Source organism: Homo sapiens, chromosome 4, assembly GCF_000001405.40.
Source record: "Homo sapiens chromosome 4, GRCh38.p14 Primary Assembly".
NCBI classification, from domain to species: domain Eukaryota; kingdom Metazoa; phylum Chordata; class Mammalia; order Primates; family Hominidae; genus Homo; species Homo sapiens.
In genome coordinates, this window is record NC_000004.12 from 180,095,245 (window position 1) to 180,123,216 (window position 27,972).

Consider the following 27,972-nt stretch of genomic DNA (forward strand, 5'->3'; position numbering starts at 1 on the left):
ACCAGCCTGGGCAACATGGCAAAACTCTGTCTCTACAAAAAACAAACAAACAAAAAACAATTAGCCAGGCTTGGTGGCACTTGCCTGTAGTCCTAGCTACTCAGGAGGCTGAGGTCAGAGAATTGCTTGAGTCCAGGAGGCAGAGGTTGTAGTGAGCCGAGATGGCACCACTGCACTCCAGCCTGGGTGACAGAAGGAGACCCTGTCTCAAAAAAAAAAAAAAAAAAAAAAAAAAAAAAAAAAAGTACAGAGATTTTAGTTGTTCTTTCTCAAAGCTCCCAATTTTTCTTTTTCACTCATTTGTCTCTATATTTTATTTATTTATTTTTCACTAGAAAAAATTACTTCTGAGATTTCTGACAAACTAAAGACACTACACATGATGCCTCCCCCATTCTTTTGACTGTGTTTTCGTTGTTTGCTGACTTAAGTATGTTGAAAGTCTTTCAATTTTATGTGACCAAAATGCTGGATGAAACACAGAGTGAAAATCCATTTTGTCCTATGGTCCTGGATAGGAGGCCATCCTTGGTCACCATGGGCAATAGTCAGGCCTGGAGTTATCTTGAGAGAAGCATCCTAATGATCTGCAACAGCTGTGGCCCCTGCTTACTCACAAAGCTTTCCTCCTATGGATAAAAGACAAGGATCAAGAGTACCAAAATATTTCAACAATCTAGCTAACCCTCTTCCTAGTCAATGATCTTAAGCCCTCCAAGAGATTACAGGACCCTTAGAGAATAGAATATGAGACCTCAAGAAGCAAGTTTAGAAGGGAAACTAATACTTTCAGAATGTTGTTCTGTGATCTAATTCTCAGAATCCACTAATGCTATGCCTTGCCTAAAACTATTTCTGCCTTATTGCTTTCTACTCTTTTCCTTTTTTCTGAAAGCAGTATTTTTATATAGCAGCCATACTAGAAAAGATATTCACCAAAATGAGATATGGATGTCTGATTACGGTATACTTCTATTAGTATTTTATTTTTTAGAACTAAATCATCTATTAAAATAATGCTCATTTTAGAGAATTCTTAGGAAATATTATTTACTCTCATCATCCAGATGCAGACATGCATGGTCTGGAATATTTTTATAAGAGTTACACAAAAATGACTGTCATATTTAAATACTCATCTGGCTGTCCCTCCTGAGTTTATACTGTGTATCTTTAGAAATTAACAATTTGCAGATATATTTAACTAAATACAGAAGCAGAATCAATTCTCCATATTTGTTGACTGACAGAATGGTGGAACAATAGCGGCATTACCCCAACAGTTATGATTAGCAGAGCCCTTTACCTTCTGATTCCATAAAAGCACACAGAACATGTTAATGTAGATATAATGCAGTCCTCAAAGGATTAACATTCCATTTCGCAAAAGATATTTTCCAGAATCTCGGAAGTAGGTGACATCTTTTTAACTTTTTAAAAACTTTTATTTTAGTTTCAGGAGTACATGTGGAGTTTGTTTCTATAGGTAAATGGCATGTTACAGGGGTTCGGTGTACATACTATTTCATTACTCAGTTAATAAGCAAAGTACTCAAAAAGTAGTTTTTCGGTCCTCGCTTTCCACCCACCGTCCACCCTCGAGTAGCCCCAGTGTCTGTTGTTCGCCTCTTCGTGTCCATGTGTATTCAGTGTTTAGCTCCCACTTAAAAGTTTTAGTTCTCTGTTCCTGCACTAGTTCTGTTTGGATAACAGCCTCCACCTTCATCCATGTTGTTGCAAAGGACACGATCTTGTTCCTTTTATGGCGGCGTAATATTCCGTTGCCTATATGTACCACATTTTCTTTATCTGGGCTACTGTTGATGTGCATTTAGATTGATTCCATGTCTTTGCTATTGTGAATAGTGCTGTAGTGAACATACACGTGCATGTGTCTTTATGGTAGAATGGTTTATATTCCTTTTATTATGTACCCAATAACGCGACTGGTGGATCAAATGGTAGTTCTGTTTCAGGTTCTTTGAGAAGTCACCAAACTGCTTTCCATAGTCGCTGAAATAATTTGCATTCTGATCAACAATATGTACCAGTTCCCTTTTTTTTCCATAGCCTTGCCAGCATTTGTTATTTTTGGACTTTAATAATTGCCATTCTGAGTGGTGTGAGATGGTATTTCATTATGATTTTGATTTGTGTTTCTCTAATGATTACTGATTATAAGAATTTTTGCATATGCTTGGACATATATATGTCTTCTTTTGTAAAGCGTTCATCTCCTTTGCCCACCTTTTAATGGGGTTGTTTTTTGGTATGTTAATTTGTTTAAGTTTCTTACAGATTCAAGATACTAAACCTTTGTTGGATGCATAGTTTGCAAATATTTTCTCCCATTCTACAGGTTGTCTGTTTACTCTGTTGATAGTTTCTTTTGCTGTGCAGAAGCTGTCAGTTTAATTAGATCCCATTTGTCAATTTTTATTTCTGTTGCAATTGCTTTGGTGTCTTTGTCATAAAATCTTTCCCATAACCCATGGGAAATACCACCCATAGCCCATAGGGTGGTATTTCCTAGGTTTTCCTCAAGAGTTTTTATAGTTTTAGGTTTTACATTTAAGTCTTTAATCCATCTTGAGTCGAGTTTTTTACATGGTGCAAGGAAGGGATTCAGTTTCAATCATCTGCATATGGCTAGCCCGTTTTCCCACTACCATTTTCTGAGTAGGGAGCCCTTTTTCCACTGCTTGTTTTTGTTAACTCTGTCGAAGACCAGATGGTTGTAGGTATGCAGCCATATTTCTGAGCTCTCTATTCTCATTGGTCTGTGTATCTGTATTTGTACCAGTTCCATGCTGTTTTGGTCACTGAAGCCTTGTAGTATAATTTGAAGTCGGGTAATGTGATACTTTCAGATTTGTTCTTTGCTTAGGATTGCTTTATCTATTTGGTCTCTTTTTTGGTTCTATATGAATTTTAGAATTATTTTTTCTAATTCCATGAAAAAATGTCATTGGTAATTTCATAGGAATAGCACTAAATTTGCTTTGGGCAGTATGGCCGTTTTAACCATATTGATTTTTGCTATTCATGAGCATGGAATGTTTTTCCATTTGTTTGTGTCATCTCTGATTTCTTTCAGAACTGTTTTGTAATTGTTGTATAGAGATATTTCGCTTCCCTGATTATCTGCATTCCTAGATATTTTATCTTGTTTTGTGGCTATTGTGAACAGGATTGCGTTCTCAATTTAGCACTCAGCTGGGACATTAATGGTTTATAGAAATGCTACTGATTTTGTAGATTGATTTTGTTTCCAGAAACTTTGCTGAAGTTGTTTATCAGATATAGGAACTTTGGGGCAGACACTGTGGGGCTTTCTAGGTGTAAAATCATATCATCTGCAAACTGGGAGAGCTTGACTTCCTTTCTTCCTATTTGGATGCCTTTATTTGTTTCTCTTGCCTGAATGCTCTGGCTAAGACTTCCAATCCTATGTTGAATAAGAGTGGTGAGAGAGAGCATCCTTGCCTTATTCTGGTTCTCAAGGGGAATGCTTCCAGCTTTTGACTATTCAGTATGATGTTGGCTATGGATTTGTCACAGATGGATCTTATTATTTTGAGGTATGTTCCTTCAATGCCAAGTCTGTTGAGTTTTTTAACATGAAGGGATGCTCAATGCTATCAAAAGGCTTTTCTGCATTTACTGCAGTGATTATGTGGTTTTTGTTTTTAGTTATGGTTATGTGATCAATTATAATTATTGATTTGTGTATGTTCACTCAAACTTGCATCCTAGTGATAAGGCCTATTTGATCATGGTGGATTAGCTTTTTGATGTGCTGCTGGATTCAGCTTTCTTGTGTTTTGTTGAGAATTTTGGCATGTATGTTAATCAAGGTTATTGACCTGAAGTTTTCTTTTTTTGTTATCTTTGCCAGGTTTTTGTATCAGGATGATGCTGGTCTCATAGAATGAGTAGGGAGGAATCCCTCCTCCTAAGTTTTTTGGAATAGTTTCAGTAGTAATGGTCCCAGCTATTCTTTATATATCTCATAGAATTTGGCTTAGAATTTGTCTGGACCTGGGCTGCTTCTGGTTGGTAGGCTTTTTATTACTGACTCAATTTTGAAATTTTGTATTGGTTAGTACAGGGTTTGAATTTATTCCTGGTTCAGTCTAGGGACCTTGCATATTTCCAGGAATTTATGCATTCTTCTTGGTTTTCTAGTTTGGGTGCACAGACATTTTTGTAGCTGTCTCTGATTCTTTTTTGTATTTATGCAGGGTCAGTGGTGATGTCCCCTTTGTTATCTCTGGTTGTGTTTATTTGGATCTTCTCTCCTTTTTTTATTATTCTAGTGGTTGAGCTATCCTATTTATTCTTTCAAAAAAAACAATTTGTGATTTTGTTAGTCTTTTGTATGGTTTTTCACGTCTCAGTTTCATTCAGTTCAGCTCTGATTTTGGTTATTTCCTGCCTTTTGCTAGCTTGGGGTTGGTTTACTCTTTTCTCAACTTGATCTGGTCTGCTGTTAATACCTTCAGTTGTATTATGAAATACTTGGAGTACGTTTTTCAGCTCAATTAAGATCAGTTTGGTTCTTCCTTAAAATGGCCATTTTGTCTTTCAGCTCCGGTATCATTTTATTGTAAACCTTGGATTCCTTGGAGTGGGTTTCAACTTTCTCCTGAATCTTGATGATCTTCATTCCTATTCATATTCTGAATTCTGTGTCTGTCACTTCAGCCATTTCAACCTGGTTAAGAGCGATTTATGGGGAGCTAGTCATTTGGAAGAGAGAAGACGCTCTGGCTTTTTGAGTTGCCAGAGTTTCTGTGCTGGTTCTTCCTCATCTGTGTGGTCTGGTGTTCCTTTAACTGTGGTGTAATTTGAGTAAAGTCAGTTGACTTCCTTTCTGGTTGTTTTCAGAGGGCTGAGGCTTTGCGCTGCATCTTGATTTGTGGTTGAATTCTTGTCCTTGTTTTCTTGGGAGCAGTGTTTGTCAGCAGAGTATTTTTGGTGTGGCAGTTTGGGCTGTTGTCCAATAGATGGGGGATAAGCATAATGGATGGTAGGTAGGCACTCGTTCAGCCACGTGGCTTCTCTGTGTTTCCTAGGGTTTGCAGTCAAACTGCCTCTCAGTTTTCTGAGTGTGGACTCCTCTCTCACTCAAATGCTGGCTGCAGATCTTGGATTGGCACTCTCAGGCTGCACACCATACCGCAGCTCTGGGGTGAGCTCAGGCTTTATGTTCCCTCCCCAGCTTGGGGGCAGCAAGGACAGGGATCTCAGCAGTGGCAGTGGCAGAGGACCTTTCACTTGTCCCTGGAGATTCCGCCCCAGAGAAACACAGAGCCGCTACCAGTTGGAGCCATCAGCCCAGGCTGGGGCGGCTGTGTTGTGGGCCCAAGCCAGGGCGCCCTGCTTAGTGATGAGTAGGGGTGTGGGGTGCTTATGGGGAAGACAGACTGGCTTCTTCTCCTTAGGGCGGCTGAGGCTTGCTCGAGGTGTGAGTAAAGCATCAGGGTCTTTGTACCTTCCCCACTCCAAGGGCAAGAGGGGCAGAGTCATTGCAGTAGCGGTGGCAGAGTGGCTTTCATTTGCCTCTGAGAGCTCCACCCCAGAGAAACGTGCAGAGCCGCTGTCAATGGGATGTTCAGTCAGGGCGGCTGCAGCGTCCGCCCAAGCTGAAGGCCCTACTTGGGGGTTGGGGGCTCACATGGAAGAGAGACTGAGTTCCCTGGCGTGCTGGTGGTTCAAGTGAAGCCCTCCTGCTCTTTGTTCCTTCCCCAGTCCCAGGACAGCAAGGGCAGAACGGCTGCAGTGGTGGTGGCAGAGGGGCTGTCATTGCCTCTGGGAACTCCATCCACCCCAGGGAAACACAGAGACACTACCAGTGGGAATGCTTAGTCGGGAATGGGGCAGCTGGTCTTCCATCCCGAGGGGCTGGGGGATCCTCTCCTTACGGTGGCTTCAGTGTGCCGGGGATGTCAGCAATGCAACCTGGCTCGTTTTCCTTTTCCAGCCTGCCTGCGGTAAGGGTGGGCCTGCTGCGGCTGCAATGGGAGAGGGGCTGTGGGTTGTCTCTGCTATTCTCCCCGCCCCCTCCCCAGAGAAAAGCAGAGCCTCCACTGACTAAAGTGATCAGGCCGGGGAAGGGGGGTTGTGCTGGGAGCCCAGGTCAGGAGGCCCCGTGCAGTGAGGAGTAACGGGGGCAGGGACCCGCGTGGAAAACTGGCCGCCTTTTCCTAAGACAGCCTTGCGGTGCTGGGGGCCGGCGTTAGTCCTTAATCACTTCGCTCCAGCTGAGCCTGAGAGAAGCAGGAGCGGGACTGTGGAGCAGCAAAACCTGCAGGCCAGCCTGTGCTCTCTGGGATCACTGTCTCAGGCAAGGGCAGGGCTACCACTGGCCTGAGAGTACAGGCGGCACTGCGGTGGTCACGCCAGGCTCCCAGGCCAGTCGGCCTTGTCCATCCAGGTGCAGTGGAGGCGAGGCCTGCGGCCTGTCGCTGCTCAGCCCTAGGGATTCAGCCCCTTTCCTAGGGACGTGTGAGGGAGCCTGGCCTCCACTGTTGCTGGAGCTGCAGCCCCTGGTTGCTACCAGAGTTCCCAGGGGTCCAAGATCCCCGGACTCTGCGTGTGTCTGAACAGCAGCTCTGCCCGGACTCCTCGTAGCTCTCCGTGTCAATCAGGAGGCCCTGGCTGTGCCACGGGGTTCATGGTGCATCTCCTGAGCCCAGGGTTCAGAGGTCTGGAAGAAGTGTGGGACCCCGAGGGCTCTCCCTTACTCACCGTTTCCCGGCAGTGGGGAGCCTCCCCCTGAGTCTGTGCCAGTCCTGAGGAGGTGGCTGTCCTGTCTTGCTCTTCTCTGTTCTTTGTGGATTGTGTTGCTTCCTTGATTAACCCCAGTGTGTACGCCTGGCCCATCCAGTTGAGGAGCTAGTGCTCACTTGTTCCTCTTTCTCTTTTCCATGAGCGCAGTGCACACTGGCTGCTTGTACTCAGCCATCTGGGGCCCCAATCTCAGTATTTTCATTTCATTAGACTACCTAGGAAAGAAATGAGTAAAGTAGTTTTAGCCATTGGACACTCACTATGGTAGATTTTGCAGGCAGAACAACCTTCTTGATGGTTCCACATATGGCGAGCACAGACATTAGAAGCCCTTATCACATTTTCTCACTATTGATAGACTCACACCTTTACTGGCACTGTATTCTTTTATTAGTTGACATTGATCAGTTATTCCAGAAAATATGTTCAATGTTGTATTAACTGACCTTTGTTGACTCCATGTGTCTATGGAACTTTATATATATTTCATAATATCTGACTTTAGAACTTGACGTATTAACCAACTATTGAATCTGGATTGTATAAGTCATTTTGTATAACATAGCCTTTGAAATATACACAACCAGGGTCAAGGCTCTTGTGTTCCTTGTCTCCTCTCTGTCTTTGTCTTTATACCTGTGGACCAAAAATTGCATGGACCTGGTATCCTGGATCCTATTGATTATGCTGATTACATCGACTAGTCTTTTAATCATTTATACTTCTTAATTGCTTCTGCATCTGGCAGAAAACATTAGAAGCAGGCATTAATATTTTGTTATACAAGTCACAGGAGGAATTTAGTAGAAATTCTTTGACTCTGTGTTTGTGATAGAAGTGAGTAAAGGTAATACTTTTTTTTTTTTAAAATGTGTCTCCAAATGCCAACATCTGCTCAGGAAGAAAAAAAGGACATTTGTCCCAATGTTTGCATTATTTCCTATATATAGAACTCTTTGGATGATTTTTAATTTAATAACTATTTTTGAAAAGACTTAATGCATTTAACATCTAAATAAAGAAAAACATAATTTATATAACTAAACAAAGTTAGTGCTGTATGCGTAAATGCTAACAGATTGTTCACCTATAAGTACCTACAGCCTTCCTAATTTAAGCGTGGGGCTACATTCTGGATTCACACATTTTTTGCCCAAAGGTAAATTATTGTTAAAAGGTAAAGAGAATATCTATTCAGCTGTTTTTGGGTGAGGATATGACGTATTTTAGCTATACAAGTAGTGTAAATTTTAGTGTGTACATTTTTACTTTAGATGAATTTAGAAATTGAAGCCTGACCTATACAGATTACTTAAGTTAAAAATGGTTTGCCAAATTTAAACATAGTAATCTGAAGCATGATAGATTAAATGTAAAATTCAATATCTGAAATATATTTCCCTCGCTTTTTAATAAAAAGGTATCACCTTGGGGAAAAATATGTCTTTTCAAATCAAAGTTTAGATTATACATTGTAATACAAAATTTTACCTTAAAAGAAATACAATTCTTAAGTTCTAAAATGAAAAAAGTAAGCAGTGAAACAACACTTACATGTGTTAGTATCCCTGTTATTTCAGGAAGCAAAGTAAAAGAGGGTGTGAACATTTCTACACATCAACATTCACAAAAGTATCTTTGTAATGTAGTGAGTATAAGAATGGCTTGATAGGACTTCAGAACAATGTAAATCTCTGTGATTTCTCCTGGGGATTCTGACTCCTTAGTATGCAGTAGGGCCCAACAATCTGTATTTTAAATAAACAAATCATATAATACAGAGACAACTTCGAGACTCACTGATATGGGAATGATTTTTTATTTTTCCATGTATGTGAGCTTTAATTTTAAAATCAAATATATGTCTAAGTATTGATATGATTTATTTTAGAAATTGATTTCTCTTAATTACACGAAAGGAAGTTTTGTTGTTGTTTTGTTTTGCTTTTTGATGAGTCATGATAGTTATTTGGAAATAATTCCCAATGTTATAAAGAAAAACACATATTTTTCAAGTGACTGCTATTTGTTTGCTACTTTGCTAAGCTACGGCAACCAAAATGTTAAAAATCCCTGCTTTCTGAGGGTGTTTAATCTGGCTAGGTAATTAAAGCATCTAGATCAAAATGTTAAAGAGTCTAAAAGATTATAAGATGGTATATTCTAAGACTCTCAAGACCCCACTGGTAAATAGAGACCATTAAATTAGGAATCAGAAAACATGACTTTGGTTACTCTCTGTGCCTCTTAACAGTTCTCCGCTGTGTGTAAGTCTTTTAACATTTGCACTGAATCTACCTTGTATCCATTACAATTAGTATGAAAATACTCCACTTTTACAAATCACTAGCTTATGGTGGGATATGTGTGCAATAATCTGTATAAAATATCATGTTATAAATAATTTAGTAAATATATGATATTATGATTATTAAGGGTTTTAGGAGTTAAAGGCTAAAATATATTAAAATGCTAAGGTAATAGAAGAATGTATCGGAAAATTAGTGCAAAGAAAAGATTCGAACGACTAGAAAAATGGTGAGCACAGCTGGTTATGAAAAAGTGTAACTCTGAGATACTTTTGTGAAAATTCTCAAAATTATTTGTAATATTAAAGCAGAATTAGAGAGATCTTCCACACACTATAATTTAAGGCATTATTTTAATAGTCTATATGTTCTTTTTATTGTCAGGGTTATTCATTACCTATATATTTATATATAAAACCTAATTGTAAATTAATAGCAATGAAATGTTATACATGCATAAGGGAATGAATTATGGTTACTAAGGGAAACCTTAATTTAAATTTTCTTGTTTCATTATATGAAAATCTCAACTCTAACAATTTATTCATATAAAATTTTATTTTAAATTCACACACATTAATTATATTGAATTAAATTGTAGAGATCATTACCTAGTCTTATTTCTGCTAATGTTTCTCCTTACTGCTTATAAAGAATTCTGCATCTAAAATTCAGTATATTAATTAACCAATGCTTATCAAATAGATCTACAAGTAAAGCACCGCATTAAAAGCTTTATGCAAGGAAGCAAAAATAAGGTAAAGCCCTAATGTTTAAGGAGCATAAAATCTAGTTGTAGAGATAAAATATGCACGGCAAGATTTGTATGGCAGTAGAATCACTGTGTAACTAATATTAGCAAAGTTGACCAGATAAAAGTTACAGCAGTTCAAAAGTGAAACATGTCTTATAAACTGGACTACCCTGAAAAAGTGGAAGGCTTGACTCACAGGTTCAAGATAGGCTTTATATTGGCAGGGAGGGCATTTCAACATGGTGCATTGGTATGTGCAAAATAGAGTGATAGCAATATTGGAGTAAATAGCACAGGGATTCTTCTCAACTGGGCATCAGAGCCTATGGCTTAATGAAGAAATGAACTCCTTTTCTGTGTTAGTCGTTCTTCAAATATGGGGCAATCTCTGTGCTTCTGGTCTTTGCACTGGTTCTCTAGTCCCCCTACCTGTGTCCCTGTAATTATTTGCTGACTCACTTTGTTTTTTTCGATGTTGTTGTTGTTGTTGTTTTTGCTGCAAATGACAAGATTTCATTCTCTATTATGTCTAACTAATATTTAACAGTGTGTATATACCACATTTTAAAAATTTATGTATCCATTGATGGGCGCTTAGGTGAATCTCTGTTGTCTTTTGTGCCATCCCTTTAGGATCTACCAGTCTGTCTTCATTTTTACTTATTTGCTGGCAGATGACAAGAATTGATTCCCCAGATCAAATTTCAGAAATCTCCCAACAAGAAAATATCATGTTAACGGTTTGATGTAGTACCTCACACACACACACGTATCTATATGCACACACCACAAATATCATTGTTAACAGTTTGATGTAGTACCATACACACATCTATATGCACATACCACTTTTTTAAATAATAAAATTCGGTTGTTACTTTTAACAATTTTTTTTCCACATAATAAGCTTCCTCCTGGCATGTTTATTCTTTGCTTGTGAATGAGGCTTCTCAAACTTTGGTTTCCTAATCTGCAAAATGGGGCCAGTAATAGCTCACAAGTTTGTTTTAAGAATTGAATTGAATGAGATGACACTTGGAAAAAGCTTCAAGCACAGTCTCTGGGCCTCAGTACCTTCGCATGAGTTATTATGTCTCTAAATTTCCAATTGCTGAGCTCTGACCTATATGGATATGTTCCATGTCTTCCTCTTAGATTCTTTTTGCAAGACATTTGCCTGAGGAATGACTAGAAGTTGCCAAACCCATTTGTTCACTGATTCATACTCTCACGTAACCTCAGGCTGTCATTTTCAGATCATACACACCCACATACCACATCTCTATTCATTCATTTATTATAGGAACAGGGTTTTGCTATGTTGCACAGGCTGATCTCAAAATCCTGGTCTCAAGCCATCCTCCCTCCTTGGCCTCCCAAATTTCTGGTGTTACAGGTGTGAGCCACTATGTCTGGCCCACATCTCTCTTTCTGAATAAAAAATTCCAATTTTTTGAATATGTTTTCTAAGACACGGTAACATCATGGGTATTGTGAGCATGGACATTGAAGTGAATTGAAAGATGAAGTCATAATTTAAAATTCAGAACTGGGCAATGACACATATGGAAAAAAAGACATTCCAAGGAGGGCTTGTTTTTTGGGAAGTAGGAAATATGCGTAATGGAAATATAAGGTTGGTTCTAGATATATTTTACTTGCTATTCCATCAGGCCATCACAGTGGAAACATTAAGAAGACATGTGAAAATAAACCCAGAGCTCAGAGAAGAGGACTGCAGAAGGCATGTCTGTAATTTAGGAATTACTTACACACATTCCATGGGACAAATCATGATAATGTATGAATTCTCAAAATTTGATATGAAAAACATGATACATCCTTGGATATTTCCATAGTCAGTTGTAAGTAATCTTGAATTTGTGTCTGTTTTTACACTTGCTGCACAGTTTGGATATAGTACTCACTTTCCTCATTGAGGACTTGGGAAAAATCTAAGACTGTCCTCCTCTTTCAAGGAAAAATAGTATAGAACGTGACTGAACCAGGCACTGAGGCATGAGTCACAGAAGGCCTATGGAATATAAAGGATTAATATTCAATGAGTACTTACCATGTGCTATACACCCCTCTATTATTTCCAATGTACTTGCTCATTTAATCCTAACGAAAATTGTGTGAGTCATGCTGTCATTAGCGTCATTTTACAGATGAGGATGCCGGAGCACAGGGAACTTCATACACATTCCAGGGTCCCTACGGTGAGTGGCATGAGATCCTGGCCGGCCTGACTCCAAATCTGAGCTCTGAACCCTTACTGACTCTAAAACAGTAAAACTACATGTGAAATGTCTGTGTTAGGAAAATGGAGAAGGAAATCAACAATCAAAGTAAAATCAGTGTCCTGGGCAGTACATTGCCTTAGAAGAATAAAAGAACATTTCCACTGATATGGTCCTTAGGGTAATGATTTTGTATCCCAGGGAGAACATTAGGCAAAAAAGCAAAATTAGGAATGTTAAGAGCAGTTTGCATTCTAGATATCAGTGAAGCTGCCTAAGGAAAGACGATTCGTTTTTCACAGAGTATCTTTGTACTTTGAGTCAAATGAAATAATTGACCACAGGGTTTAAAAAAAACTATAGCAGTAGTTTAATGATATTTTAATGATAATAATAAATATACTAAGATATATTAAACACTGAATAATGTAGGCAGTTTATCAGCTGGTTATACATACTGCATGTTTCTTAACCATACATTGCATACCTTAAGGGTAACAAACCTGTCTTAGGCTTTTCTTTGATTTTGATAATGTCAGACATATTGCTCATTCTATAGTGGATGCTCACTGACTTTGTTAATTGATTGACTATTTGGATAACATAGTTCTTTTACTATTTTTAAAGACTCTGTGAATGGAATATAATTTTATTTTGCTTACAAATACTTTGTAGTACAAATATTTTGTATCTAATACAATGCTGCAAATATTAAGAAAGTCTTTCTATGATTCTTTGAGTTATTCATTCATTCATTTATTCTTCCATTCATTCAACATATACTACATGCACCAAATCTCATCTTCTGTCACCTATGCAAGGAGATCAGCGTGCAACTCTCTGCTGTCATTGTTTCATTTTCTTCTCTGCTCTGTTATGTCTTTCTCACCAGCTGTTATTTCTTACATACATAACAAGTATTTTCTTAGCCCCACTTTCCCCTCCAGTTACTGCCCCATATCTTCATTCCTCTTTTCAGCAGAACGCCTTGCCTGAGTTCTCTTAGCCATGATCATCCATTACCTTGCTGTCAGTTTCTATTTGGTGCACGTCAATCAGATTTTGCCACACCGATCTCTACAAATTGCGAATGTAAAGAAGCACTAACAACTGCAACACTGCCAAGTCTAAATGTCACTTCTTGGTCCACATCTTAATTGCCCCATCTGGAGCATTTGACCTGGTTGTTTCATCCTATCTCACTGGTCATTCCTGCTAGGTCTCCTTAAAAGATTTTCCGCTTCTGACATGTGGATGTTGGAGCGCACCAGGGCTCCATCCTTGGAACTCATGACACTGGAAATCTAACCAGTCTCGTGAAAGAACTATCTCAACATTTCAAAAGAAAAGAACTGTTTTAGGTCCAACTAAAACTGAAAGTAGAAGCTCTTTTATAGGAGAAAAGATTCCTCACTTGATCTCAAAGAGAACTTTTGAAAAGAAGGAGGGTATAGAGAGTAGCCTGTCTGAGAGATGAGAAATTTGATAAAAGAGTGATCTCAGGAATCCACCCCATACATCAGCCTCAGTATGGAAATGAGCCTGAGCTGGCAGGAAAGGACAAGTGCAGCTTGGAAGGGAGAGTCTGCTCAAATAACTGTGTCTCTTCAGACTTAGATTTGTCAAATAAATCTTAGTATAGTTTCTAGGCTCATAAACTTGGCAAAACCAAACGTTCTACAAGTTTATATTTGTGTGTGTACGTGTGTGTGTGTGTGGAGAGAGAGAGAGATGTAATCTGTAGACATAGGCATGGTGAGGTAAATAAATTGACTATAGCACATAGAATAGTTATCACATGATGGGTATTTGATGAATTGGCTCATCTGTTCTATAAAACAGGGGTCCTCAACTCCCAGGCTGTGGACCTGTACCAGTCCTTGGCCTGTTAGGAACCAGGCTGCACAGCAGGAGGTGAGCGAGCATTACTGCCTGAGCTCTGCCTTCTGTCAGATCAGCATCAGCATTAGGTTCTCATAGGAGCACGAACACTATTGTGAACTGTGCATGTGAGGGATCTAGGTTGAGTGTTCCTATGAGACTCTAATGCCTGAAGATATGAGGTGGAACAGTTTCATCTCAAAATCATTGCCCGAACCACCACCACCACCCACCCCATCTGTGGAAAAATTGTTTTCCATGAAATCAGTCTCTGGTGCCAAAAAGATTGGGGACCAAAGCTATAAAATATGAATTCCACTCATTCTTATAATTTCTAAATTGAACTTTCCAGAATGCTCTGTTTAAGACAAACAACCCAAAAGCACTTTAAACTTCTACAGCTAAATGCAAGAATTATTATCCCTTTGAGCTACTCTAAACGTTAATCTCTACTAAACACTAATTCATAGTTTAATTACACCAGATAGACATTCTTTAAAACTTGACTACTTTGAGCTTAGTTTCAGAGTAATGTAGAGAATGCAATGGAAAGAATCATTTAACTGGAAAAAAAATTATTTTTATTTGGGAGCTGATAATGCTCCCTGTCTTTCTGCTTCTTCAGATGCTTTGGCAAAGTGTTCAAAATATATAGTATAACGTAACTAGCTTAATTTTATCAATTACCTTTATTAAACTAAATATAAAGACTTAGGTCTTCAAAAAGTGCATGGGTGGGAAAATCCACCTGCTCACACAACTGTGGATGGGGACTCTGCATCCCTGGGTGGGTCCCAAGTTGTTTTGTTTATTTTTTTTAAGAATGTTCATATTAATCCCTAATAGCAATTATATCATCATTACCATTCTCTCTTCTGTCTCTCACTTTCTCTTTCCCTCTTTCTCCATACTTTCTCCCTCCCTCTGTCCTTCTTCCACATCTGTTTCTTTTAAACATTACATCGATTCCCTCGCGAATCTGAACTTACATACTGAGAACTTCACAAAAAGAAAGGGAAAGTGAGAGTTCTCCCCAGATCTGGTAGAAAAATTCCAGGAACGACACAAATTGATCTGCTTAGGGGAGGAATACCCTGGCCTGAACACAGTGGCAAGGTATGTATGATGCCACCACAGTGGCCACAGTGGTGAAGCGCTGTGAATATAAGCTCTTACTGGAGCCTTGAGTTTGAGCAGGAATGAATATTTCTAGTCAACTTCATTCAACTCCCTAGTCCCTCAATTGCTTAATTTTTTTTTTTTTTTTTTTTTTTGTCTATCATGCCCACCGGAACCCTTCACACCCTTCACAGTGTGGGGTCCATATTTGATCGTCACAACTACATTTTGACCACAATCTATGATGCCATCAACATGGCATTGGTAACAACATCTACTTTTCACATTCTTACACCCAGACACAGGAATCCATCTGGAGAAAATCATGCAGTTATGCACTTGGGAACCATTACACCTTCATTGTCTCTAGTTTCAGCCAGACATTTGTCAATGCTCCCCAAGCTTCTCATTGTCATTTGTCAGCTCATGCACTCCCTCTGCCTACTGCTACCTCAAACCTTCCCCAGTCTTCTGAAATTCAGATCTCTTGGCCTTGGCAGATGATATTTTCCTTCATTTATTGAAAACATTTCAAGCATCTGGCATAGGGCTCCTACCTCACTTGACAGCCCTCTGTCCCCAATAATATTTACAAATATATGCCTGTCTGTGCTTTTCTTATCTATTTCCTTTTAGATTCAGAGGACAAAATCTCCTTCAAAGCCAAGTCAGTCACTCAAACTATTAACACATGCCTCATCTACTAACTCCAACTTAGCCCTGTCCATCCCCGTTTTTTCTGGTGTCATGAGCTGCTCCCTGTTCTAAGAACATTTTCTCCTCTAAACAATAACTCTGCAATATGTAAAAACAGAACTACCACTCCCTGGCAGGTACCTGCATATACTCACACACCTTACACACACATAAAGCTCCCCTTGGACCATGCTTCTCACTTTAGGGTCCCTGCTGGTTACTTTCATGGAATTTTTTGGAAAAGCAATTTTCATTCACTGTCTCTAACCCTTCAACCTGAATCCCTGCTCAACCTGTTACCTTCTGGCTTATACGCTTAGTCCACACAATTATTTTAGTAAGGTTTTAACCTATTTGTCAAATGCATGGGCAATTTCAGTTGTTTTGCTAGACTTCCTTTTAACGTTTATCTCTGTTAGCCAATCTTGTCTTCAAACCCCCGTTCCCATGGCTTCTGTGACACCACACTCTCCACTAGCACCTCTACCTATTCTTTTCTGTCTTTTTAAGACCTCTCATTTCTTTTGCCCTTAAAATATTATTGCTCTATATTTTTGTGATTCTATTACTGTCATATTGATCTTCTCAACCATCGTACTGTGTCTGAAATCAGACTGGTACTGTAATATCTTGGGTGTTTCCACATGGATGCCTTCCTCCATAGTCAATGGAATTTCCAAAATTGAACCTATCATCTTCTTTTTTTTTCTAAACTGATAACATCTTCTATTTTTCTCTTTTTCAGTTATGGTACTAATAGCTACATGAAATTCCTGGTAGTATTAATTATAGTACCTAGTTGACATTTATTGAGTTCATAGTAGTATGTGCCGAGCACTATGCTAGGTACTTTACATGAAATATCTCAACTAATCTTAACAGTCCTGTACAGCACACAGCACTCTACTACAATTATGTAGTTTTGGAACTAAGATTTAAGTGTGTTTAATAATTTGCCAAAAGTCACTTAGGAAGTGTGGAGGTGGGGTGCTCATTTTGGAGACATGCTGAACAACTATGGCAGACAATCTGAGCATCATCTTTGACTTCTCTCTCTCTCTCCATTCCAAATAGCACCACATCTTGTCATTTTACTCCCCATATATTATAGTTGCAACTATATCCTTAACCTTCTCTGAACTGTACTTCTCAAATATATCTTTCCAGCAGTTTCCAGTAATTAGATAATAAAATTTCCAAACACACAAATCTGGGGGCATTTCCACATGCTCAAGATATCTTGATGTTTCCATGGCTTATCAGATAAATCTCACCTTCCTAAATATAATTTTCATGGTCCTGTTGATTAAACCTTGGTACACATACATCTCCAGCCTCATTCTCCATGGCTTCTTTTGTCTGGATTTCCATTTTTCTTTAGTAATGCAGACTGCTTGTGGCTCCCCTTATAGGCCATTCTATCACTCAGTTCTGTGCCTTTGTTCTTGCTGTCATGTCTGCTTGGAAGACTTCATTCCAGCCTCTTCCCACTGAATGCAAATACCTGTCTCTGTCCCCTGCCGGTCAATTACTTGTTGAGTACTTTCTCGTTCTGATACCTCACTGCCTCTAGTAAGCCTTTTCTTGACTTCCAGAACAAAATAAAAGACTCTTTTCTTTATTTCATCACTAACATTTTCATATTTCCATTTTTAAAAACTTGCAGCTTTGTTTTATAATTATCTATTTCTATCTAGACAGGACCTCTTGAAGTCAGGCTCTACATTCTCTTTATATTCTTATTGCCAGGCACCAGAGCACCCTGTTTGCTAAGGGAATTTTTAAATTTATCTTCAAGTAATAAGTGAACTTTGAGTCAGATCTTGATTAATGTGTTTAGAAATAGGTGGAATAAAGAAGATGAAACATATTAGAGCTTATGCTTGACTATCGTTGGTATTATATTATTTGAATATTAGATCTAACTTTGCATTAATACTATATGTTTTTACACTGTGCATTTTATCATATCTTTTATGAACCACTCATATATTTAGAAGATGAAACAATGGATTAGGTATGGAAACAAAATTGTGTCATAAAATTAGTTAATTTTGTGATTAATTATAAAGTACTTTAAAAACAGCAATGGGTGGGATGGCGTCTGTGGTTGGCAATAGACATGCTGTGGATAATTTATTATTAAAGGCCTTTAAAATTTTAAAAACCCAATTAAAAAAAACTTATAATTGAAGAGTAGGGAATTCTTCTTTAAAAAGCAGCAATAAGATTAAGCCACATTATGCAACCTCTGGGCAAATGCTGATCTCATAATAATAAAGTATTTGCCTATTTTTTGTGTGAGTTAAATACCATTGAAACCGCTGAACTTGATAACACCTCAGGCTATCATCATGTTAGGTTTCTATATATAATAAAGAGTGGGAGACATATAGGGGGGAAACCGCAGAAATGAGAAAACAATTTAGAATGGTTTTTTAAAAAATTGTTTTTGTTTTTTTCCTGAGACCATTAACCTGTCAATGGCACTATCATATGAATTAGTTTATTCCTAACTAGATGATGTTCTTAGGACTAATTGTCACTCATTTCTAAGCCTGCCCAATTTTACACCCACATTAGATAGTACAGTCAAAGGCGCTTAGATCATATGAAATACACTTCCCAAAGAAATATATCCTCCAGCTTTTGCACACGGGCTTTCTTGTGAATTCCTGAATTAAATGATGATAGCTTCCAAATATCACCTTGTTCGTATCTCCTTTCTAAAATAACAACTAAAGATTGCTCTTCTATGTTAAAACTAACTGTTAAAATAGTTTTCTGCTGTGCAGTTATACAGAGATTGGGTAAAAAAAATTGGCTTAAGAAAAAAAGATGGGAAAGCAGAAGTATAGAGCAGTACAGGAAAATCATCACCCTTCAAATGACCATATGTGTTTTTATTTGAAGATAAAATATGTTTCTTGATATACAGATTTTACAGCCAAATTAATTAAATTCTGATATGTTATTCTGCATTTGAGTTTTTGTTATGATTTATCTACCATTATTCGTTATGACATTTAATAGATACTTTTAAATAGCTTTTCTCTGTTGACATTCTTGTTTGTTGATTACCTGGAGGAATATTTTATAATTTATATAATTTTTAAAATTGCAAAATTCTTAAAATTGGTAAAGTTGAACTGATTGGATGATTGTAAAATGTCTCTATGCATTTCTAATAGTTCTTTTGGCATTGTTAATAGTTTTATTTTGTCTGATGAACCTTACCAGTAAAAGAAAATGTTAAGGAAGATATTTCAAACTGCTTTGATTGGTGGGATAAAATATCCTGATGCAGTGGGAAGAAGAACTCTTTGAGGGAATAAACAGTTTGGAGGAGAATGTGCTGTTACTTCCAGAAAAAAACCTATTTTCCCTGGAAAAAAATAAAATCCATAGAAAGTGCCCTTGGAGGCATGGCAAATGAATGAAGACTTGGTTATGTTAAAGCAGCTTCATTCTGAGATGGAAAAAGTGACTCTTTCAATCTTAATTCTCTGGTTAGAGTCTAATAGAATTTTTGGTCTTGTCTCTGTGCCTATTCTGAGGCCCTTAGAGTCCTTAAAAGGTGAATGAATTAAAAAATATGAAGGATGTTTGTCCATTAAATGCCATAATGTCTCTATTATTTACCTATTTCTTTGTAACAATAGGAAACTTGTTGATGGTAGAAGTTGTTCAGCACTCATACACACATCGTTTTCTGCATTACTCTAATTGTTTACTTTGCAATTTAAATGCTAGCAGGGAACACCAAACATTTTGCTAAATTCCCCATTGCTGAAATGAAGTTTAATAGCCAAAAAATTGCTATTGTATGTATTGCTATTGTGTGTGTGTATATATATATATGTGTGTGTGCATGTGTGTGTATATACACATACATATACCTATATTTCCAAATTTGTTGTGTAAGTATATTTCTTCGACTAGCAAATTTCAGATTACAGGTACTAATGAGAGTCAGATCAAACAAATTTAAAATGTATTGGCAAAATTCATTTAAGCTTTTATAATAAAACTTAATTAAATCATGTTTTATTAATTTACTATTTGTAGTAATTTATTAGTGCTAAAATGAGGTTCACTTTTGTATAAGAAAAATAAATAATTTTACTAACATGATAGAATAGAAATACAAAACACATATTCAAAGAAAAAACGACAGAGCTAGATTCCATCCCCCCCCCAAAAAAAAAAAAAAACACATTTGAAGGCAAAAATCACATTGCAGGAATTAATTCACAATTTATAGACAAAAGTACTATGCTAATTAAAATGTATATATTAGATTTTACTTTACTAGGCAACATATTATGATTTATATTATTTCAAATGTTATTTTTAATGCCTTAATGTTATTTTCAATAATACTTATATTTATTTAAAATATTATATAATTTCATCTGTTTCTCTCAGATTAATCTCTCTCAGTTAGTAGAGAATTGACTAATGTTGTCTTTACTTCTCATCAAACTTTTATGAGATCTGAAAGAAATGATGCATGCGTTATTATTATTTTCACATTTTTGCTACCCTTTTTAATTTTGGAGATATAAGCAGAAAGAATTATCAAATAGACAACAAGATAAAGGGAAAATAATGATTTGAAGTATTATTGTAAAATCAATTCCAGAATAATTAGGTTCTGTTGCAGCTGATGCAAAATTTTACTGAAATCGTGTTCATATCTATCATCTAGGAAGTGCTAAATATCTGTAACCACTTGATTACTTTGAGGGAAATTAAATTTTCCATCAACATATCCCCTAATACTACTACTCCTGTCCAGATGATGAAAGGATCAACAGGAATCCTCAATACGTAGATCTTCATTTTATCTTCCTTGGAGCTCTTGTGGTTTAAAGGACCCCAACTTTTGCTACCCATTTTCTTTCTTATCCTTCCTCAGTCTCTGAGCTTGTTGTATTTGGCTACATACTGACCAAGTTATCTGCATGTCTCAAAGACATCTCAACAAAACCTGCATTTATGTATGCACTTATTTATTGTTAAAGTGCATCATCTTTCTGGAGACAAACTAACTTCCCCTCCAAACTTTCCTCTTGCTGTATTGAGTGAAGTTTGCTGCTGGTGGGAATGCCACAGGGATGCAAACAACACAAGAGTTCATAGCCCTGCCCCACTCACAGGAGTCTCGCTGTCCAGCCTTAGAGCTTTTCCAGATCTGTCTTCTAAGCCTAGGAGAATTCCTTGGAATTTCCAGTCTTAGTTCATGAAATAATCTCTGAACTGATTTCCCAGGTTCAAAGTTTGATCCCCTCTATCCCATATTTCATGATTCAAAAGCCATCGAAGTTTTAAATCAAAGATAAATTACACTCCCTCATTTTCTGTCCCTATGATTTAGCCCAATCTATTTATTTTATCATCCTTTCTTTCTTAAAACTGTTGCTGTCAAATCAACTCTATTACCATTTCACAAACACGCTAGGCTTTTAGTCACCATGTTATCTGATTCTGTTGCAGTGGTCTTATTCCTCTTCACTACCTGGACAATTCACCCAGCTTTTAACTCCCCCTGAAGTTCTACTTACTCTTCGACAACTTTGTGCCTTTGGTGATCATTTACCTTTATCTTTCCTGTGGTTTTACAACACATTAGGAGCCTCTTCCCCACTCCTTCCCACCATAGCCAGTCTTAGTGATTTGTCTGCATTCTGTTGCTTGCTCGGTTCAGATGGATAAAATCTTACTGATTTTCATTTCTGTGATGACAAACTGAAGACTTCCTATTAGGCCTCACAGGGGTCTTTTCTGCGTGACCTCCTCTTGCTGCAGTATCAGTATCTCCCAGCCGTACTCTGTACAGCCATATTCTAGTCAGGCTAAAATCTTAACAACCCCACAACGATTCTCGGTTTCTTCAAGCTCCTAGGAATTTGCATATGCTGATTCTTCCACCTGGAACACTCTTTTCTCACAACCCCAATATCCTCACCACCATCTAGTGTATACTTTAAATAGCCGAGACTTAGACTATGACTTCACTCATACAGCCCTTGCTTATCAGGCACACAGGGGCAGGGACATCTCCTGTACTCTCATAGTACCCTGTAATTGTCCTCTCTGAGTGCTCACCATTGTGATGTAACTGTTTTTTATCCCTCCTCTTAAATGTGTAGTGATAAGGGTATTATGTCAATCCTAACAACATTTTATTCCCAGCATGTTTTTTGAAACCACGGAAATTAAAGTGTAGGGTTTTTTTTTTCCCATATGTAGATTTCAAGTTTTCTGTGGACCTAAATCATGTCTTTTAATGATATTGTATTTCATAAACTTTCTAAAAATGTGCTGAGTAGATGTGCTGTTTACTTTCATGGAAGAATGTGGTAATAATTAAATATTTATTCTGAAATGCTTTTTTTACATTCATGGTATTTGAACAAAACATATTCTTATAATTCTAATGGATACATTTATTTGCAGTTAAAAATATCATTTAAGAATACAAAAAATAAAGCTTAAGAGAACAAATGTTCATGGTTTTCAACTTTAACATATGAAACATTTTGAGAAAAACACATTATTATCAACTGTATGTATGTACATCTATATGACATTTTTCATACTTTCCACAAAATTTTCATGAAGTATTTATATAGGCTTCTCTTTAATCTTACATTGTTTAGAAGCATGTCTGCATTTAGTTTAAAATTCATATCTTAAATGTCTTAGGACCTAAATAATGACTTAGCTTTTCAGAAAAATCTTAGATGGTATAGTGATCATTCAGCCTTTGTTAACCTGATTTTTAATTTAGGTTCTACTCCAAGTTAACCTTATGCCCTTGGAAAAGTTCATATGGCTTTCCTCACTTTCATTCTTGTCATTTGTAATATATGGGTAATAGGCTGTATTATTTTTAAAATCTTTTTCAACTTCTAAAGTCCATGATTATTTTATTCAAAAGCTAGGTATGAACTCACACATCAGATTTAAGTCTACACTTTAAATTTCCCCCCTTTTCTGTTTCCATTGTTGAAATTAGAACAGTCATAAAGCTCATCACTAAACTGAACACAAATTTATTTCTTAAGACAATTCAAAATACAAGGAGGCTCTGACTGCTATTTCACTGTAATTCAAATTATTTAGCTATTATAGATAATGGAAAGGTTGACATAAACTAGGCAAAGAGAAAAAATATGGTTGAAAGTCACATATTCCATGTCCTCTTTTGTAATATACGGGGATTTTGATTCAAGAAACAGAAATAAGGTACTTAATGTACACTTCGTGTTAAAGGAGTTTATTATGAAATATGTTGGATTTTAATAGGAGAATGCATTGTAGTAATACATCAGTTTAGCAAATATGTATGGACTTTAAATGGGTTCGAACATCCGTTTCTTTTCTATCTTGAAAATGTTTTGTTTGTCATGATTTAGATTTCTCTTCAGCACACGTTAATTGATATGTGCCATGCGAATATTACGTTGTCATAATTTAGATTTCTATTTGGCACACATTAATTGGGTGCATCATATGTGTGATGCAGCCACTGCCATGCACTGTGGGAAACATGCATAATTCAATGGTGCATAAACAGACATGGCTGTTGACAGAATGGTTGGAGGCCACAGGGTCACCAAAACAGGCTCTGTGTGCATGTCCAGCGTGTGCTCCAGGAAATAGTTTGTGGCCGAAGTGGCTCTTACACATTTGAAGTGGGTAAGATTTATGGAAGGATACTTTACCTCCTGATATGGTTTGGCTGTGTCCCCACCCAAATCTCAGCTTGAATTGGATCTCCTAGAATTCCCACGTGTTGTGAGAGGGACCCAGGGGGAGGTAAATGAATCATGTGGGCCGGTCTTTCCCATGCCATTCTCGTGGTAGTGAATAAGTCTCATGAGATCTGATGGGTTTATCGGGGTTTCTGCTTTTGCTTCGTCCTCATTTTTCTCTTGCCGCTGCCATGTAAGAAGTGGCTTTCACCTCCCACCATGATTCTGAGGCCTCCCCAGCCATGTGGAACTATAAGTCCAATTAAACTTCTTTTTGTTCCCAGTTTCAGGTATGTCTTTATCACCAGCATGAAAACGAACTAATTCACCTCCCTTCAGAAATATTTCAGCCCAAAATACTTTGAGGAAAGGCTAGACATAGTGGCTCACACCAGGCCAGGAGTTCAAGACTAGCCTGGGTAACACAGTGAGACCCTGTCTCTAGAAAATTAAATGAAAGAATTAGCCAGGTGTGGTGGTGGTGCATGTCTGTAGTCCCAGCTACACAGGAGACTGAAGTTGGAGGATTGTTTGAGCCCAGGAGGTTGAAGATACAGTGAGCTATGATCGCAACACTGCACTCCAGCCTAGGCAACAGAGTGAGACCTCATCTGTAAAAGAAAAAAGAAAAAAAAAAAAAACATAAGGTTTCTCCCATGCTACCTATCTGCCTTAGGAGACCTGGGTGAAATAATTTCATTTTTTAAACTCATCGTTGTCAACTACACCTAAAATCCAACTTGGTGTAGTGACTGGTCATCACAAGTGGATCTAATCACCTGTATATACTAATTCTTTGTTTTATAAAAATTGTTCTTACTTGCTCTGTCAAGGGCACCCTGCCTAAACAATTCCCTCTAAGTTTGAATCTTAGGAGGGAGAAATGTGGGAATTTGAAGCTTTCCTTCTGGATAGGCCCATGGACTTGTTAAGCACATTCCTTCATCTCCTTCCTAGCAGCATTTAACCTCTAGATATCAGTAGTTTTAGTGAAAAAAAAAAAAAAAAAAAAGGAAAAGAGAGTTCATTATGAGCCAGTTGGTTACATGAGCTTCCACTTCCCATTATACAAATATTTCCTTTGCTTTTGATTCTCTTTATTCAAGCTTTGTCCTGGTTGAATAACAGATATTTTGCTGGAGAAAATGGAATATGTTACTTACATGAATTATGACATTTTTTCTTATGGTAAGAAGTGAAGGAGCTAGGAGGCAGAAGAGTGGAAGAAAGGAAAGAAATGACAGGGCAAGGAAAAATAAAAGATAAAATGCCCAAATGCATACATAAATAAAAAGGCCAGGAAGGGTACTGCACTTAATGTTCATATTAACTGAAGGGTAAAGTAGGGAAGAGTCTTCTCCACTGTTCATCTACCCCACATACTAACAAGAGGGAGTTTCCAGCAAATAGCTGGCAGCATGTTCAGTACTTTGACTAACGTCTGGAGACAGTTCCATAAAGCAGTTTTCCCTTTTCAGAAACACCAATGCACTGAGATTAAATGAGAGATATTGCAGCTTTCACTCTTGTTCTGCCAACCGCAGGCTTGACCTTGATGCCTTTGCAATCATCTCTACAGCCACAGAGTGGGAAACGATACCTGGGGTATGCTCTCTCATTGACTCCAAGAGCTTCCAAACACAAATTTTACACAGGTAGTTTAAATGTAATGATGAATGCTTCAGTCAATAGATCATAATTTCATAGTAGTTGATCTGTTTTACTTTATATTTAAAGAAAATAAATAACTTTGGGGCCAACCCCTAGCTTGTATTCAGGGAAGGATACAGCACAAAGGAATAAAAGAATTTAGTGTTGTGAAAGATTTTCTGTCAAACAAAAAGATATTTCTAAAATTAGTAATTTTCAGAGTAGAGTGTTTTAATAAAAATATAAACACAAATCAAAATTTAATTGTTTCTTTATACTCTTTCCAAAATATGAGCAATATTTCATGCTCTGAGGGTAAATATTTCATTTTAACTATAGCTGACTTGCCAAATATTCAGAAACCTTATTCCTGTTCTATGAAAGATCTCAAAGTTAAATTAGTTCACGTCACTTTTACAGACTATAACTTAAACCTTTAAAACACATTTTTTTCCTCAGCCTGATTATAGCATATTTTCTTCTCAACTTAATTTTAAATGACATATTCCATTGTAAACTAGCTACAATTAAGGACAAAAATATTTTAAGTAACTAACTGATATATATATGTTTTTGTTTTAATAAGCCCAAATCAATCAAGGTGTTTAACTCACTTATATTTCTACTAAGGTATCACTAGTATCACTAGGATATATGGGTACATTGAAGATATGGTAGTACATAAAAATTTTTAAAACTAAAAAAAAATTTAGTGAAAAATGTTTATCTCCTATTTGTATAAAAAGTGTTTTTCCAGTATTTTTTAAATCCAAATGTTCAAATTAAGATAATGTGAACAATGAATAAAATGGACAAAAAATATTATCTGTTTTTCCTAGGCCCAATGAAATATTTTTTATTTGAAATTTTAGCATTTTTTAACTAGGTTTATAAACTAGTAAGAAACACACACAAGACAAAACAGAGCAGGATTTGTGGTCACAGCATCTTTTCTTCTACAAATATTTAATTATTCTTAAAATAAGGGAACCACATTCTTTCAGAGTAATTATAGACTTGTAAAAGTAATGTAATGTAACTTGTAATGTAACCAATATCTGAGAGTATTTTCCATCAGATAGAAAGTAGAGATTCTCTTAAGAAAGTTACAAAAAAAGGTTCTAAGATTTCAGAGGAGGTAAATTATTGAGTTTTACAGCCTGATACAATTTTAGAGCTAATCAGCTAATCTTATCTTTTATTTTATATTTTACAAAATGTAGGTCAAAAAGTAATTTTTTTTCAAAAAAGTGTTGACTGTATGAAAATTTTACTAATTTGTTTTAATGAGAAGAAAGAATGAGAGAAGTATCCTGCAATAGTAGGAAATCTGAGATGGGAAGACCAGGCTTAGACCTTAACAGAGTGTGTCACAAAAATCACCTCAGTTGACCTCAGTTTTCACATCTATCCAATAAGAGTTTGTATTACATTATTTGGAATATAACTTCAAGTTCATAATTTTCATGATTATATAAAAACCATTACAAATAAATAAAATATCTGCTATGATTACATGAAAATTCTAATTTGAAAAGAAATGCATGGTTTTTTATTTTTTGGTTGCTATTATTAAGCAGAATGTGTTTCAAAGTAGATGTACTCAACCCAAATTTATTTATAATTAGTAGCTTCAGCTGGCATATAGCAATTAATGTGTTTTTTCCAAAGGGTTTAACATTCCTCCTGTTATATACTGCAAGCAACTTATTTGTTTATTATATTATTAAAGCAGCCTTTAGGCCGAAGCGTGGTAAATGATCACAAATCTCAAATTTAATGAAGTCGAAATTGGTGACATTTTATTTCATTTTTCTCAGATCATCATATGATAAAAATCACACTGCATTTTACAATATCTGGAGGACATGATAAACTAGAGTAGCTATTCAAATAAAATCCGTACTCTGTGGCTAAAGCTGGAAGGCTGAGAGTTATAGTAAAGATCACAAATTCATTAATGAGGGCTCTCTTTATAATTGAATTATCTAGTCTGCCATTTGTTTTTTGCAATACATTACTCAATCAGTGACCATTTATTAAGGGCATAATATTTTCCAGATACCAAGCTAGGAAAATGGAAGGGGCTGACGTGTGAAGTAGATTACAAAAACAGGAACTTGGAATGAAGGTGAAAGTGATAGCTCAGCTATTAGAATGAGAATGTGCTGGATGGTCAGTGTGAGGTGGAGAAAGGGAATACCTTTAGAACGGTGTGCTTTTATCAAAGTCAAAACAGAATAGTAACATGATTTACCTAGTACTGAGCCTTTTAGCCTTTATCCTGGAGCAAGAAAGTAAAAATAAAATGGAGAGACCAGTGGATGCTCACTGGATTATTCCCAATATTTATCAATAAGAACTTTCACATATATTATTTTATTTGGTCCATAATATAAAAATCTACTTATATTTTGTTTCTCTTCCACGTATTTGCAACAGAGATTTCAGTTTGAGTCTGTATTAGACTGTGCTACATCTGGAAATGTCTAATAAACAAGTAGGATGGGCCAGGAAGAAAACTGTGTTGCATGAATACTGATTTATTTATCACTGGATAAGTCATCCTGCAGGAATAAAGTCCCAGGCATAAACATCTTGGCTCAGAGAGGAAGTCTTAGTTTTCAGAGGGAGGCAGAATTCTGAATGCAGTATAGTTACTGAAAATTGCATTTATTTCCTGGTGAAACTACCATTGGACCTGAAATTCACAGAGAATAAGAGAACGGTAAGTGACCACTGAAATGATTCTCTTATAAACT

General features: G+C 36.9%; 2 long non-coding RNA genes across 2 annotated transcripts in view; one reads left to right on the forward strand and one right to left on the reverse strand.

Annotated features, from left to right (window-relative positions):
* Positions 1-253: 253 nt before the first annotated feature.
* On the reverse strand, positions 254-21,957 carry LOC124900818 (uncharacterized). The gene is made up of 3 exons (XR_007058396.1): positions 21,400-21,957; positions 6,754-7,010; positions 254-629 (listed from the first exon to the last, which is right to left on the reverse strand). It is a non-coding gene; the product is annotated as an uncharacterized LOC124900818 (long non-coding RNA).
* LOC124900623 (uncharacterized) overlaps positions 4,362-27,972 on the forward strand; it is a 49,265-nt gene continuing 25,654 nt past the window's right edge. Inside the window, exon 1 of the long non-coding RNA XR_007058392.1 lies at positions 4,362-27,938. This is a non-coding gene — a long non-coding RNA (uncharacterized LOC124900623). The remainder of the gene's footprint in view (positions 27,939-27,972) is intronic.